The sequence below is a fragment of the Homo sapiens genome, chromosome 7 (assembly GCF_000001405.40).
Source record: "Homo sapiens chromosome 7, GRCh38.p14 Primary Assembly".
Taxonomy (NCBI): domain Eukaryota; kingdom Metazoa; phylum Chordata; class Mammalia; order Primates; family Hominidae; genus Homo; species Homo sapiens.
This window is the reverse complement of record NC_000007.14, coordinates 9,724,069-9,741,818: the sequence shown is the minus strand read 5'-3', so window position 1 is coordinate 9,741,818 and position 17,750 is coordinate 9,724,069. Positions and strand designations below refer to the sequence as shown.

Below are 17,750 nucleotides of genomic sequence, written 5' to 3'. Positions count from 1 at the left end.
CCATTGATATAAAATGTGCTACTTAAATACAGCATCAGGAAATTATTTCTGAAATGAAATAATATGATCTGTACTCAAGCACAGCAAGAAAATATGATGGATATACTGTAACTACCTCTTGTGAAGGAAGGTCAGATGGAGAAATAAATGCAAAGTTGTTTGAAAAGAAAAACTACAGCAAAAAAAAAATGGCTAGCAACATTTCATTGGATGCTTCACCTAAGAACTCACAGTTTGACAGAAGAAATTGATACTTCGAAAACTCATAGCCATGTTTAAATTTAATTTTGTTGCCGAAGTTATTTGTTAAATTACAGTGAAGCTAAATGTTTAGATTTATGTCAGAATTTTTTTCTTTGCTATTGTAAAAACTGAAAATCAAAAAGAAAGTGAAATATACATTATTTCTCATGAGGGAACAGAATTATCTTGGCCATCATAATAAACAAGTTTTATTTTACACAACTTTTCTACTCTAAATATTTTAAATTGGCATTTTAGCTACTTTTAGTCCTTTCAATTAGAAAGTTATAGCCAAGTCTGTGATTCAGGTATGATTCAGTATTGGTATCCATCATAATGAAAAAAGAACGCTTTAGAATAATTCTTTAGAGGGTCCCTTTTAAAGGAAAGTTTATCCAGATAAAAACACATAGAAGATGACCAACACCAGATTGGAATGATTTAACACTTGGTGACTGAACTTGACCCCACCTTTCTCACTGAATCATCTGACTAAATGAGATATAAATGTTTTATTCAAATTAACTGTAGGTATCAGTGCAATTCAAAAATCTTACCTTATCTAAAATATCCAAGAGGACCAGAGTTGTAGTTTTTGCTCTAGCATGTCTTCCTCAAGCATCTTTATAAAAAACATTAACAAAGAATTCATAACATTATTTCCTTGAAGTTAAATCTGGAAATATAGTTGTAACAGTGATTTCCTAACTATGCCAAGTACTAGAATCACCTGAGAAATTTTTTAAATTATCAGTACCATCGTTATACTCAATACCAATTAAATCAGAATATCTGGGAGTGGAAGTGACTCATCAATTTTTTTAAACATCCCCAGGTGGATTAAATACGGAGTAAAGGATGGGAACAACTAGTTCTCCTTGAAGAGGTCCTTCACGTCCCTTGAAAGTTGGATTCCTAGGTATTTTATTCTCTTTGAAGCAATTGTGAACGGGAGTTCACACATGATTTGGCTCTCTGTTTGTCTGCTATTGGTGTATAAGAATGCTTGTGATTTTTGTACATTGATTTTGTATCCTGAGAATTTGCTGAAGTTGCTTATCAGCTTAAGGAGATTTGGGGCTGAGACAATGGGGTTTTCTAGATATACAATCATGTCATCTGCAAACAGGGACAATTTGACTTCCTCTTTTCCTAATTGAATACCCTTTATTTCCTTCTCCTGCCTAATTGCCCTGGCCAGAACTTCCAACACTATGTTGAATAGGAGTGGTGAGAGAGGGCATCCCTGTCTTGTGCCAGTTTTCAAAGGGAATGCTTCCAGTTTTTGCCCATTCAGTATGATATTGGCTGTGGGTTTGTCATAGATAGCTCTTATTATTTTGAGATACGTCCCATCAATACCTAATTTATTGAGAGTTTTTAGCATGAAGGGTTGTTGAATTTTGTCAAAGGGCTTTTCTGCATCTATTGAGATAATCATGTGGTTTTTGTCTTTGGTTCTGTTTATATGCTGGATTACATTTATTGATTTGCATATATTGAACTAGCCTTGCATCCCAGGGATGAAGCCCACTTGATCATGGTGGATAAGCTAATGGAAGACCATTCCATGCTCATGGGTAGGAAGAATCAATATCGTGAAAATGGCCATACTGCCCAAGGTAATTTATAGATTCAAAGCCATCCTTATCAAGCTACCAATGATTTTCTTCACAGAATTGGAAAAAACTACTTTAAAGTTCATATGGAACCAAAAAAGAGCCCGCATCGCCAAGTCAATCCTAAGCCAAAAGAACAAAGCTGGAGGCATCACGCTACCTGACTTCAAACTATACTACAAGGCTACAGTGACCAAAACAGCATGGTACTTGTACCAAAACAGAGATATAGATCAATGGAACAGAACAGAGCCCTCAGAAATAACACCGCATATCTACAACTATCTGATCTTTGACAAACCTGAGAAAAACAAGCAATGGGGAAAGGATTCCCTATTTAATAAATGGTGCTGGGAAAACTGGCTAGCCATATGTAGAAAGCTGAAACTGGATCCCTTCCTTACACCTTATACAAAAATTAATTCAAGATGGATTAAAGACTTAAACGTTAGACCTAAAATCATAAAAACCCTAGAAGAAAACCTAGGCATTACCATTCAGGACATAGGCATGGGCAAGGACTTCATGTCTAAAACACCAAAAGCAATGGCAACAAAAGCCAAAATTGACAAATGGGATCTAATTAAACTCAAGAGCTTCTGCACAGCAAAAGAAACTACCATCAGAGTAAACAGGCAACCTACAAAATGGGAGAAAATTTTCGCAACCTACTCATCTGACAAAGGGCTAATATCCAGAAGCTACAATGAACTCAAACAAATTTACAAGAAAAAAACAACCCCATCAAAAAGTGGGTGAAGGACATGAACAGACACTTCTCAAAAGAAGACAGTTATGCAGCCAAAAGACACGTGAAAAAATGCTCACCATCAGTGGCCATCAGAGAAATGCAAATCAAAACCACAATGAGATACCATCTCACACCAGTTAGAATGGCAATCATTAAAAAGTCAGGAAACAACAGGTGCTGGAGAGGATGTGGAGAAATAGGAACACTTTTACACTGTTGGTGGGACTGTAAACTAGTTCAACCATTGTGGAAGTCAGTGTGGCGATTCCTCAGGGATCTAGAACCAGAAATACCATTTGACCCAGCCATCCCATTACTGGGTATATACCCAAAAGACTATAAATCATGCTGCTATAAAGACACATGCACACGTATGTTTATTGCGGCACTATTCACGATAGCAAAGACTTGGAACCAACCCAAATGTCCAACAATGATAGACTGGATTAAGAAAATGTGGCACATATACACCATGGAATACTATGCAGCTATAAAAAATGATGAGTTCATGTCCTTTGTAGGGACATGGATGAAATTGGAAATCATCATTCTCAGTAAACTATTGCAAGGACAAAAAACCAAACACTGCATGTTCTCACTCATAGGTGGGAATTGAACAATGAGAACACATGGACACAGGAAGGGGAACATCACACTCTAGGGACTGTTGTGGGGTGGGGGGAGGGGGGAGGGATAGCATTAGGAGATATACCTAATGCTAAATGACAAGTTAATGGGTGCAGCACACCAGCATGGCACATGTATACATATGTAACTAACCTGCACATTGTGCACATGTACCCTAAAACTTAAAGTATAATAATAATAACATTAAAAAAAAAAGAACAAGTAAAGACTAACTTGAAAAATTAAAAAAAAAAAAAAGGATGGGAACAACTAAGTTAAAAGGTACCTCGCCTGACATCAGGAAAAAATAATAAAACTGCTAAACATCTAGTAAAAGACTGTATTTGGATGGCATAACAACCACATTTTTTGTAGCATTAAAATATAAGCCGAGTGACTAACGAATAAAGTTGCTTCTAAGGGCTTTAATGAAATAAATAAGATGGATTCAAAGTTCACTTTAACTTTGAGTTCTTGATAATTCATTTCATTTTGTCAATTTTTAGGCTAAAAACAGTGCCTAAAGGCTCTTTCATATTGGCTATGCAAAATTCCATTCAGAGTCTCCTCCAATCTGCTTTCCTTTTATGGTTAAAATCAGTCAGTAATAGCATGTTGAACTATATCATTTTGCTGTGATTTTTGTCTTGTTACATAAACCTCTCTTTAATAATATAGTGAATCTGATGCGAAGTTTGACAAATTAGAATACTGTTAGAAGAATTTAAAAATAATCAACATGATTAATTCACCATGTTTCAAAAGAGAAGACTGAAGATTCTGGTTTTCAGAATCTTGCATTTCAAAATTATTACCCATAAAAAGAGAATAACATTATCTGATTGGAATGTCAGAGAAAGCATTAATAAAAGGTGTAGTCCAAAATCAAGCATAAAGCTTAACACATTTTCTCTGGTAAATGAGAAACTTGATTGGCTGATGTATCCTAAATCACCAAACCTAAGATATCTTTCAATGTATTAAAATTTATTTTAAAGCCATGTATAAATGTCACTGTATAGTGTTTCAAGATTGTGTTTTTTTTTAATCAGTGTGTTTATCAGCATAGGTAAACTGCTAATGCTAATAACTCACCGGTTTACCAAAATACAGGATTATTTGTGGGGGCCTATCCAGTACAGGATGATAGTAGAGAGGAATGCTATGTTACTTTGCTCTGTCTTTAAGGCCTGCTTCTTTTCATCCATGGCTTCTCTATCTATACCAAGGGCTTGCTGTCTTCTGCTGGCTCCTCTGCTACCAGCTCGGAGATAAGGGAGAGAGTAAGTGTGGAGAACAGTGGAGAACTCTGATATGCAGCCATTTCCGAAATGTCAAGTTGGCTGACACCTTGTTCTTGACCTTCTTCACCTTCAGAATGATGAGAAATAAATTTGTTTAAGTCGCTCAATCTATAATATATCATAGCAGCCTGAGCAGACTAAGATAGTCATAAACCCTTCTGTCTGCTTTCTATTGGTTAGAATTCAGTCACATGACCTTGCTTCAAAAAGACTGGGAAATTAGTCTAACTTTTAAAAGACGAGAAATGTGGATTCTGTCCCTTTGATCAACAAATATCTTTTGTTCCATTTATTCTATCTATGGAACACCCAAAGCCTCTCTCCAAGGGATTCAACAGAAAGCCTAAGATCTCTAGGCAATATAACATATTGTTCGTTATTCTCTTTGATCTTGGCGGCTCTGCCCTGGAAGACATTTTTCTTCTGTTTTTAACTTATTGTCTCTGTCTTTTGTAAGGATTTTAATCCTGTATAACTTTTTCAGACTAGTTCCTATGGAAGCAAGCTTGAGTCCAAAGATTGTGTTACAGATGGAATAATAAAAGGCAATAAAATTCCCTAAAGTATTGGTAGGCTCTTAATCTATGCAGTCCAGAATATTCTCTTAGATAAATTTATTTCTTTGCTTTCTCACCTCTAAGTTTCTCTTTTTCAACTTAATGGCACACCTGGTGACTATCTAAAACTAATTGGATGTCATATCCATACCCTCAGTCTAAACATGTTCCAGGTCGGAGTTACTTTAAGTAGGAAATCTTACAAAAGGCTTTTATTTTTTATTTTTTTATTTTTTGTTTTTTTACAAAAGGCTTTTAAATCTCTCTTAAAAAATTGTTTGGAGTCCAGGTAAGTACTTCACAACCTGAATAAACCCAAGTTTCTGGGTTTTTTTTTTTTTTCCTATTCCTTTTCATTTAATGCTGCCTATTCTTTCCTAAATTTATCTTTTTAGGTAACACATTGCTCAGCATAGTAAATAACCATATCCAAAAGAGAATAACAGTTTTTAACCAACCTCATTTCTTAAAGGTAGATCCCAGTAGATACACTTTCTCTCTTCTACTGTTTAATTAAATATTTGACACTGAATAACACAGATATATAGGCGTCCATCCTGTTATATCTGTTCCTTCACCACCTACCTCCAGTCTGATAAACCAGTAATTACATGTTGGAAGTTTCAGTTGCAAAAGCAGCCTACTCAAACTGTTAATATCTTTATTAGACAAATTAAGTCACACTAACCATTGAAACAAACAACCTCAGAATGTTGAGAGTTTGTTCCTTTGTCATGCACTTCACCATCTACTGTGTGTTAGTGGTGGCAGGAAGAAATGGGGAGTTGGTTCTCTGTTCCATGTAGTCACTCAGGTACCCAGCCCCCTTCCATATTTTGATACTGTTATCATAAAGGCTCAGGGTCTTCCACTGGAGGCCTTACCTCAAACTGTCAGACAAGGAAAAGGAAAGGGAGAGAGGGGACTAGAAGAGGGGAACATCACTTTTGCTCACAGTCTCTTGTGTAGAATTCAGTCATATAGCTTTACCTAACTTCAAGAGGGTTGCACAATGATCTCCATTAGTGTTTCCTGGAAGAATAAGTGAAACACAAATATAGCTCAGCTGTATCATTCTCTCTCTCAATTATCATGTATTTCAAATGATTGTTTTATCTAAAGATAAAATAATATACAATTAGACCTATTTAATTTACTCACTAAAGCACCATGCATACAATTTATCTTGATTACCATTGGCCTGAACCTAGGTGTACCAGATAAAATACAGGATTCCCAGTTAAACCTGAATTTCAGATAAACAATAGATAGATAATTTTTAGTATATGCATTCTCCAAAATTGCGTGTGTCAAACTTATATGAAGAAATAATCATTGTTTATCCAGAATTTAAATTTTACTGAATACCTGTCTTTTTTTATTTGATTGTGTTGCTAAATCTGTCAATCCCAGCCAGAACACTTTCATTTTCATTATTAGTATTGTTAAGTATGCTCAAAGATGTCAATATGAATTATGGAAATTGTAAATATTATATGTTTTCCCTCAATTACCTTTAAACAAAAAAAAAAAACACTGCTTCAAGCCAAAAGGTATAGTCTTGACTATTATCTGCTACTTAAATCTAATTTATATATGCCTAGAATTGTTATTTTTAACTAGTCTTTAGTGTCATATGAGACTTGATGTTTTAATTAAATTTCAGTACAAACACCTTAAAATAATATTATGCTACTTTTATTTCAATATTTGTGTTCTGCTTTGTTAGGAGAAAAGTTGAAGCAAAGTGCAGATTATCAGGCTTAAGATAAATTAAGAAGCACTGGCACCTTCACTGATCTTCAAACTAAGAACTGCCCATAAAGTGGTGCTGCCGAGATTGGATTTCTCGTGCATGCTCCCTCAGTGATTTTTATATTTTAATAAGACTGTTCATTATAGTTAGCTCCTCATGTTGGAGCCATTAGATATTTGTGGGAAATAACATATCATTATCTCAGTTGCATTCTGAGCCATTTGGGATGCTTTTAAGTTAGAATGATTTTTTTCTTGTCTTAATTTTACACACACTAGTGCCTACATGCCTGTTCAGCTTATTTCTGTCTTCAGGTTCTTTGATCCTATTTTTCAACTTTATTGTGTTAAAGTGGCTGATGAACAGTGTCACTAACTGCTAGATAGGAGTAGCCTCAAATTCAGTTAATTCAAAAATGTACTGCCTTGAGAGAGGGGTTGATATTCTAAGTCCTTTATTTATTCCGTCTCTCTCTCTCACCTAAAATTCCATCAGGAAGCATTCACACACATCTCCGTATCTCTTCAAATTTAGCATTAGGGATCTAAGCATGGAAACAATGATTTTGACATTACATGACCGTAAGAACCAAGGATATTAAGAGGAATGCTTACAGCATATAAAGGCAAAAAGCAAACACAACATACACTCGACAATTAGTGAGCAATCAAACCAAACGCAGATCTAGTGCAACTGAGTAATTTTCAGCGTTGAAATGTGAACCTATAGAAGGTTCTAAGTTATATTTCTGATTTCCATGTAATAAAGTATATATTAAGTTTAGATTGGGATTTAGCAAAGCTATATAGTTATTCTTGTAACTATTCAAGTTTGGGATGGGGGGTGGATAAAGATTAACTATGCAGCAAAATCCTGTCTTCTCTCTTATTCATTATTTGTTCACCAAAAAGATCTATGATCTGAACTGTTTTAAATTTTTATTTGCTATCCCATCTGGTGTGGTGAGAACCCTCATAGAATCCAGAAGTTTTTAAACTCATACATGGTATTTTATTTCATATTCCTTCTTTATGTTTATTGTGAAGGGTAGCCTAGAATTGTTTATTCAGTAAATTAATATGTATTGCGCATATACTGTTTCCAAGTATTGAGCACTAGAAATGCATATATTAAATATAGAATTAATCTCTACCCCAAGGACTTCGCAAACAAGTACATATGTGCGTGTGTAATCATTCATTTTATTTATCACTAAATTGCCAGTGAGAGAAATTTTAGGATGTTGACTTCATACACAGTTAACATTCCCATCTTCCTCAAATTTAGATCTTGATGTAGGATTACTAAGTTCTGCAGTTGCCAAATACATTATACAACCAGAAAAACAATATTACTTTTTGAGATGAATATCATTTTATAATAATAGTCATTATGAAACTAAAAATGAAGAAAATGTCTTAATTCCAAAAGACTATCTTACAAGCAATATGTTTAGTTTTCCAATAATTGACTATATTCCTCTGATGTGGTTCATCTCACTATGGACGGTGAAAACTTTGTCATGGCTTTTGCAAAACAGTTTTATTTGGGAGCTAGTAAGAAATAAAATAGTCTGATATTTGATCTCTGTGTTTGGAGTTAAATTGTTATATGCCAATATTAAATGCAGCAAATACTTCATAGAGAAACAAAACCTTAATACAAATCTGTAGCCCTAACTATGGAAGAAGATAATGGGCCTAAACACAGATGAAGACTAGTTTCTGGAGGAAGAAATCAAGACAGAGAGTTATTTCAAAGAGATGGTCTATGGGGCTTTGGAAATTGATGTACTAGTCAGGTACGGAATCAGTATGGATCACACTTAGTTGGATGACATTTATGAAAAGTAGAAAAGAGCCCCAAACAATAACTTGTATAAACCTACATTCCATTTCTTTATTCTGCCTTATTTTTCTTCATTATATTTACTACTACCCACATTATTTGTTACCTTTATTTCACTCAAGAAATATTTATTGAAGCTCCTTAATGCTTGGCCCTGTTCTGGGACCTAGGATAAAATGAGAGAACAGAAAAAAAAAGTCTCTCCTCATGAAGCTTCCATTCTAGAGTTATGTTAGTCCCAACATAACAACAGGATATCTGTGGAAGCAGGGACCGTGGTTCTGTCTCAATCTGTTGTATATCACTACATTGGCAACCCAACCATTGCATACTACGTGCTCAATATTTTTTGTTGAATTAATAAATAGAGGGGGCCGGGCACGGTGGCTCACGCCTGTAATCCCAGCACTTTGGCAGGCCGAGTCAGGCGGATCATGAGGTCAGGAGATTGAGACCATCCTGGCTAATACGGTGAAACCCTGTCTCTACTAAGAATACAAAAAAATTGGCCAGGCACGGTGGCGGGCGCCTGTAGTCCCAGCTACTCGGGAGGCTGAGGCAGGAGAATGGCGTGAACCCGGGAGGCGGAGCTTGCAGCGAGAGGGGATCCCGCCACTGCACTCCAGCCTGGGTGACAGAGCGAGACAGAGCGAGACTCCGTCTCAAAATAAATGAATTAATGAATAAATGAATGAATAAATATATATATATAAATAGAGGGTTTTGGGTACATGGAGTAGGGGAGTGGATACTCAAGTATATTGAGAGTAGTTTACTTCTACCCCAGAGAACTGGAAGGCAAAGAGGCTAAGAAAACGATATCAAATATAATGGTAGCCCATGGAATATGTCAGAAATTCCAGCCATCTACTGCTGTTCTTTTTTGTGTTAAAAGAAATGATTTTTACCTGGGACTGTAAGTTCTAGTAATGAAAGCTGGTTAGGAAGAGCTATTGTTATCTTGTATCCCAGCTGTGCACTTAGACTGATGTTCCTATGAAAAGTGTCTATTTAAAAAATGAACATGTTTATCTTGTCTGCAGGACTATGGGAGTGAATTTACATCTAAAAACACACATTCCACTTCAAATAGCCTTTTTCAGAAAGGTCTGGGCCTAAGGTTTCTTACAAACAGAATCAGTTATTTTGGAAATATTCATCCTTCTTTACCTTGGCAAAGGTGACATTGATAAAGAGAATGAAAATGATAAATCCATAAACCCTGGTCTTTATGTGTAGGGGAAGAAAAGTGCTACAGAGAAAAGGATCACTACGATAAAATGGACAGAGATGAAAGGTGGCAAACTGATTTAAGTAAAAATTAATGGCAAAGATTTTAGAGGCAATTTAAAAATTCAGTTAACACAACTGTTTGAAGATTAAGAAGTGAGGAGACAGGGGATTCAAGTACACGGACGACTGATTATATGCCGGGCTCTATGCTAGCCATTCCACATGCACACACACATTTCACAGTCACTGAGGAGAATATAATTACTCCTCCAAAACAGTGATTAAAAAATGTGATACAGATCCTTACAATAACTTGCCTCAGGCCACATGTCTAATATGGGACAGGTAGAATTGCAATCCTGTGCAGTCAAATGACTCCTCAGCCCACATACACCATATCATATTTTGGTATGAATATAAAATATGGTTACACATCTCTGGGTCAAAGTAATTTATTGACACCTAATAAAAGGTTTCCAAGCCTGATGAAAATATTTTAAAATAAATCTTATACATAGGACTTCTATTTTCTTTGATCCTAATTTAGTAAGTCTAGAATCATTTGCAAGCCATGTGTGCAAAATATATGCAAGCCACCTCCCTAAAATTAATTAAGGCCTGTGTTTCAATCATTTTCAAAGATGTTTAAATCATCTTCTATTTTGCAAGTCAGGAGAAATTAGATTAACAAGAACTCTGCAGGACCCCAATCTATACTACTTGAAAAATTCTGAAATACTACCAGAAAAGGGGTGAAATACAGCTGGAGTGATTAAGATTAATATTCAGACACAATTCTCTGGCTGGCAAGTTGTTAAAACATTGAAGTAAAGGTCCAGAATGAATATAGAACTCCAATTCCGGAGAACTTTTCTAAACATACATTAATATGTGAGTGATAATTTTTGATGTTTTGTTTCACTAAATTATTTTTAACTTTGCCTTTTGCTTGTACTTCTATATTTAATCTACTACTGGAGACTTCACATTCTGTTTTATTAATGTTCCTATCTCTTCTCACTGCCATAACACTATGTCTAATACACTGACAAGCTGGCTAATTTCCTTTCTGGTTTCTGACCCTCGTCTCTCCATCTCCAGCTTTCTTCTCATTCTTTCCACATCACATAAGCATAAAATGGTTGCTCTGAAGTCTTGGTTTTTATCAAGTTACTCAACTGCTCTAAAAACTAATGGCTTCTCACTGCTTATAGCTATATTTGTGCAGGGCATTTGGTCAGAACAGAGAAAGCAAAAAAAGAAGTCAATGCCCAAATAACTGGGACAATGCTGGGTTAAGCAAGGCTGAAGGGGAATAGAAATTTTACTCTATGGATTCTCAGAACCTTTAAAAGGACAAAATATACAGTTATCTCTTTAGATTTTGCTGAGGGAGACTTCGTTCAAAAATACCTTCTGTATTTCCAAGAAGTAATGATGTTCCATGGGGCAACTTTGAAAAATGTTGGTTTATAAAATTTTATAATCTAGTATTCAAAATCTTACTTGTCCAGTTATACCCAACTAGACTCTGTTGATCCAATTTGTTCTTTACCATCTTGTCCTTTGAATACACTTGGTAATATCCCACTCCCTTATTCTGCATAAATAATTTAATCTGCCTAGAATGCTTATTCATTATCAATTCTGTCTTTAAATTCTTACCTTAATGCATTTTTCTTTATATAATCTCTCCAAACTGGTTCAGTTGTGCCATTCTCCTTCATAAACACTGCAGACACTTCATATATAAACATCGTAGTTATTTATGTGTTTACATCTGAGATATGTTAAATACCTTGATTTTATCAACCATGAATATTTTCTTTTTTTTATATTTATTTATTTATTTACTTAATTTCAATTTTTTGAGACAGAGTCTCGCTCTACCACCCAGGCTGGAGTGCAGTGGCGTGATCACTGTAACCTCCGCCTCCCAGTTCCAGAGCTTCTCCTGCCTTAGCCTCCCGAGTAGCTGGGATCACAGGCGCCCACCACCACACCCGGCTAATTTTTGTATTTTTAGTAGAGACGGGATTTCACCACGTTGGCCAGGCTGGTCTCGAACTCCTGACCTCAGGTGATCCACCTGTCTTGGCCTCCCAAAGTGCTGGGACTACAGGCGTGAGACACCACACCTGGCCAGAAATATTTTTTAAAGCTGAAATGAAAGGCACCCTCCAATGGGACACACATTTGAGTGGAGACCACCAGCACCCTAAGGTGTGACCCTGAAGGGCGAAGCATGCTCCCATCCCAATCCCTTTCTATCTATATCACATCATGACAACGTCCAGAGATGGGCACCTGATAGCATTAGCCCTTTGTTTTTTTTTTTTTTTTTTTTTTTTTTTTTTTTGAGACGGAGTCTCGCTCTGTCACCAGGCTGGAGTGCAGTGATGCGATCTCTGCTCACTGCAACCTCCACCTCCCGGGCTCAAGTGATTCTCCTGACCCAGCCTCCCAAGTAGCTGGGACTACAGGCAGGCACCACCACGCCCAGCTAATTATTGTGTTTTTAGTAGAGAGGGGGTTTCACCATGTTGGCCAGGATGGTCTCGATCTCTTGACCTTGTGATCCACCCACCTCAGCCTCCCAAAGTGCTGGGACTACAGGCGTGAGCCACCGCGCCCAGCCAGCATTAGCCCTTTTTTTTTTGAGACGGAGTCTCGCTCTGTCGCCCAGGCTGGAGTGCAGTGGCGCAATCTTGGCTCACTGCAAGCTCCGCCTCCCAGGTTCACGCCGTTCTCCTGCCTCAGCCTCCCGAGTAGCTGGGACTACAGGCGCCCCATTAGCCCTTTTTAAGACGGGTAAACTGGAGCTGGGCACAGTGGCTCATGCCTCCAATCCCAGCGACTAGGGAGGCTGAGGCAGGAGGATCACCTATGCAGTTCAGACCCCCTGCCACCTGGGAACACAGCCACCTCCTTCTGCTTGAAAGCTGCCAGACACACAACCAAGGTAACCAAAGCCGAGGCGGAGCTAAGAGCTACTGGCACCCACAGCTCCCAATGAGAAGGTTTTCCTCGCAGCAAAGCATGTCAATGTCATAACACATCCCATCACAAGTTCAAGTTACCCATTTGAACCTGACCATTGACATGCATAACATTCTGCTCTCCACGGCTTTGCAAATTGGAAGAATCTACTTGTGAGCTTTCACTGGGGAGAAATGAAAAAGAAAAGTTTGGAAGGCTGGGTGCAATGGCTCATGCCTGTAATCCCAACCCTTTGGGAAGCTGAAGGAGGAGGATTGCTTGAGGCCAGGAGTTTGACACCAGCCAGGGCCATGTAGTAAGACCCCATCTCTACAAAGAAATAAAGTAAAATAAAATTAGCCAGGTGTGGTGGCATGCACCTGCAGTTCCAGCTACTTGGGAGACTGAGGTGGGAGGATCACTTGAGCACAGGTGTTCGAGGCCGCAGTGAGCTACGATCACACCACTGCACTCCAGCCTGGGCCACAGAGCAAGACCCCATTTCGAAAAAAAGAAAGAAAAGCTTCCAATTCTGTTTCCAACCCATTTCTGAATCTCCAAGACTCTTATTTCTAGGCAAGAGGACCTTAGAAGGGGGCAGCGGGATCTGAGACCACCTCTCCTTACGGTGAAGGCAAACCCAGAGTCTTTGGTGATGCCCCAAGGCCACAGGAAGACGGAGGAGCGCCGGCGTCGTTGTGCCGTCAGCCCAGCCCACCAAAAAGGACCATCCTCCCTGGACACTCCAAAGGAATCAGAAACATCATAATCTTCCAGTTCCTGGAAAACCTGGGCAGGAGTCAGCCGGAACCCAGACCTGAGCAGGTAGACACTCTTATCAACTGCGGCGACGCACACACAGCTGCCCCTTGCAGCCCTGATCCGCAGGTCGACAACCTCCCCAGGTTGGGTCTCATTTGCTGAATACGTCACTGAAACCTGGTTTTCGAAGAAGGTCTCGACTGCAAACTGAAGGCTGTCGGCGACCCCTTCTCCATTCTCCCTGACATAGAAGACCAGCAGGCGACCAAGGGGGACCATGCTTGGGGTCACGGCCAGACGAAGAGAGGTCACACACACGTCGACCTCAGCTTCTGGGGCTGGTGGGGGCTCTGTCTCAGAAAGGTGTGTTAAACGAATCGGTTTCTCCAGGGCAGGGGCCGCCCGCTTGCTTCGCTGCTGGGTGATGTGGGCAGGCTGCTGGCCTGATAGCACAATATTGCCCCGTGCAGCCACCTCGTAGTACAGGGTAAAGTTGCAGGGACATGTGTACTTATCAGAAAAATAGGCTTCTTCCCCAACCTGCAGTGGGTGGGAGAGTGGCTGCAGCTGCAGGTAGCACTGGCTGGGGGAGTACCAGCTGCCAAGGGAGAGGTAGCTGGGCAGGTACTGAGCCCCCACGGGCTTCCCGTTCAGTGCCATCACCTTGGTCTCCAGCCACACGTGCTGGGCTGACGTGGGGATGGAAGGGATTTCAAACCCCACTAGTCCACCCTGGGACACAACTTCACTGGTGTAGATGTTATCCTTTGGTGTCAGCTCTGCCTTAATCTGGACCGTCACCCACTCAGCTGGGCTGCCATCGGGGTAGGATAGCTCCACCTTCCCCACGTAGGCCAGGCCCGGCTTGAACTGCTTCCTCGTGTCCTTGGAGTACCGGATGTCCACCAGCTGCCTCTGCACGGGGGTGGAGTCATCGAACGCGACCTGCTGGCTCCCGTCCACACTGGTCACCATGGCCCAGATGCTGACCCTGCCCCGGAAGTGCTCAGGGACGTCCGCTGGGATCATGTCCCTCACGCAGATGTCGAAGTCCCGGGAGCCGAGGATCTTGGATGTTCTGAGGACGGGGCGTCCCACCTCGTGGCTGTAGTACCCTACACCATTAACAGTCATGTTGATCGTTAAGGCACCAGCCACAGGTTTCCCAAAGGTATACCTGGCCCGCACAGTGCCTGTCTCACAGGCGTCCAGGTCTTGGATATACCGGGGCGGGTCAATCAGAAGCTCGAACTTGGGCAACACATACTTCTGAACTTCAAAAGACTTGTTGTACGCGTGGCCTTGCATTTCAACAAAAATGAACCATTCTCCCAACACAGGCTGGTCGGACAAGGGGAAGCTCATGTTGGTGATGCCGCAGCAGAACGGCTTCAAGTGTCTCCACTCTATCATCCGAGAGCCTCGGGGGTCCAGGATGTTGGCTTCCAGCTTCTCGTTGACAGGCCTCAGATTTGGAGAGACGGTGAAGATGCTTATGAGCACTCGGTGCTGGGGTCTGTACACAGGCTTGTCCGTCTGGATGAATACAGAAGCGCCCCGGCCGTCCACGGTCACCGAGGTCTGGTTGTGAAAGAGGAGCCCCTCCTCCGCCTGCCAGCCGCGGCCCCACACTTTCAGAAGCGCCTGGCCCCGGAGGCCCGTGGGCACCTTGAGTTTGATTGTCCCTTTATCCTGGGCCACCAGCTGAGCCTGGACCGTGACTTCCCTTGGAGAGTTAAAGATGGTCACGCTGATGACTTCCTCCACGCCCGCGCGAAAAACAGAGGGAGCTGCAATCAAGTAACCCGGGGCCTGAGGCTGTGCGGCGCGCAAGCCGTCCCGCGCCGACAGCAGCAGGAGCAGGAGCGGGAGCAACGGCCAGAGCAGGGCGCCGCTCATTTTTCGGCTCCTGGGGGGCGCCGCGCCTGGGGAGGGGGCCGGGCCAGGGCTGGGCCAGGGCCAGGGTCCGAGCGCGGCCGTCCTCGCGCCGCCGCCGGGGGCCCTTTGTTCGCAGTCCCCGCGCAGTGCGCCCGGCGCCATGCGCCCCGCTCCTCGCCCGGCCAAGCTGGGGCAGCCCCGGGCCAGCCCCCTCCCCGGACCCGCCTCGTCCAATAATATTTTCTATATTCCTTATAGTTCAGTATGTATTTTTGGCCTTCAATAACTGAAGGAAGTCAATTTCAACATATAAATTTATATCCAAAGCAAATTGTTATTATAATTGTTAGTATCAGATAAACAATATGATAATATTATGACATCATTCTAGTTAAAAAATAAGAGTATTAGTTATACCAATCAATGTTAGTTACAGAGCAAATATTTAAAAATGCTTCAAAAAAGTATCCAAGATTACTATCCCAGATTACATCCTGACAATTTTATTATGATATCTGAGATAATTTACACATACTATAGACATAGATTGTACAGAATTTGCCTACAGTGGTGGTGAATTTGGCCTAGCCAAAACAGCTTTTTCCTACATGCTAAGGAAAAGCAACTCTAGACATATGGGGTATGTATGCAAGTATTTTGCAAAAAATGTTTTATAAGGACAAAATATATACACATATACTGAAGACTAATAAGTATCACAAAATTTTTAAAATTAATAAAAGTATTTATATACCTAATATAGGTATACATAATATATGTAGTATTTAAAATATATAGATATATATATTCTAAAAATTATGTTTAAAAAGTTGGTATACAAGTTGTCTACAGTCTTATTTGCAGCTTGCTATGCAAAACAAATTTTATTAATGAAGCAGATCAACTGAAACAATTATTTGTAAATAACGTGCAATATTAACAACAAACCTGGAACAAAATTTTAGGATCCTTGAATTTTTATAATGAAGATATAATTTCTACATTTTCTTAATTGGGGCACACTGTGTTAACACTCTGTAAGGTAGTTTCTATCATTGACAAAGAACAGCAGATTTACAGAAAATCTGGAGAGCTGATGCAGGTGCGGTACACTGGTACTCAACCCCATTGTCAATTTGTTAAGTGCCATATGTTGACATGTTTGATTGTCAATGCCTTGCCTCCGTTGAAGTGAACAGAAATGACATTTAAAACTCCAAAGTAATATCTAAGTCTCTGTGTCTGTTTCTTTGTTATCATGCTCAATTTTGCTTAATCCTGCAAAATTTTCAGGTATCCATTTTGCTTTTCCATTTCATCTAAACATAATTAGTTTTCCACATCCATTTTGGCACATGATTCAGTAAGTACACATTCCAAGGCTGTATCACAAATCTCCCATAAGCCAGTGATTACAGTATCTCTAAAACATTTTGCCTATGTGACATTTATCTGTGATGTCTTCTATTTCTTATTTAACCAAATGGAAGCAGCTTGTCAAACACAAACAGCCCTATTTCTGAGATCTTTGCCCTTTCAAATAGCATCTCCAGACTCCTTTCCAATCTGTTCACACAGTAAAGGTCTCTTTTCATAATGTAGTTGTATCCCATAGGAGGCTTTTTAAAACTATGAACATACTCATTGGTGTAAGAGCTAGAATTTCATTTTCTTTTAATAATTGTCAAAGTGCTTCACAGATACATCTAATAAAAGAGATGCAGGAAATATATTGTTTGAATTTCAGATATCATGGCAAGGACAGAACTCTTACAATTAATCTGACCAACCTCAGTTTTCTCATCTATAAAATGGAAATATTAATATCTATATTACATGACTGAGTTCACTATTAAGATAATGCAGCTACAAAATCAGTGCTATTATTCCTTATATTATGGACAATGTAATGCAAATTATGTCTCATAGTAAAAACCTTATAAGAAATTGCTTTGTGTATTAGTTTGAATACAGAATTTATATAAAATAAGCACTTAGTAAATATGAATTCTGGTGGGGAGAATGGTTTTGATTAATCAACAAATATTTTATTGAACTCTTGTGGTACTCCAGGAACCATGCTAGGTGGTGAGTGTAAAATCATGGGAAAAAATCCACCCTGATGAAAATTATAGTGGAAGAGAAAGGCAAACAATAGTACACAAATAACTATGAGCTGCATATAAATGACAG

At 39.6% G+C, this 17,750-nt stretch overlaps 1 long non-coding RNA gene and 1 pseudogene across 3 annotated transcripts in view; both read right to left on the bottom strand.

The window, feature by feature from the left end:
- Nucleotides 1-17,750, bottom strand: part of LOC105375148 (uncharacterized) — a 147,709-nt gene that overhangs the window by 27,695 nt on the left and 102,264 nt on the right. The window contains exons 1-6 of one of the 3 annotated variants that reach the window (NR_187873.1): nt 14,343-15,757; nt 11,604-11,679; nt 8,812-8,871; nt 6,092-6,133; nt 4,336-4,611; nt 801-865 (exon numbers count right to left, since the gene is read on the bottom strand). This is a non-coding gene — a long non-coding RNA (uncharacterized LOC105375148). Of the gene's footprint in view, nt 1-800; nt 866-4,335; nt 4,612-6,091; nt 6,134-8,811; nt 8,872-11,603; nt 11,680-14,342; nt 15,758-17,750 lie in introns of those variants that run through there. The other 2 variants (NR_187874.1, NR_187872.1) reach the window with 2 other exon arrangements.
- Nucleotides 13,530-15,746, bottom strand: CPAMD8P1 (CPAMD8 pseudogene 1; annotated as a pseudogene).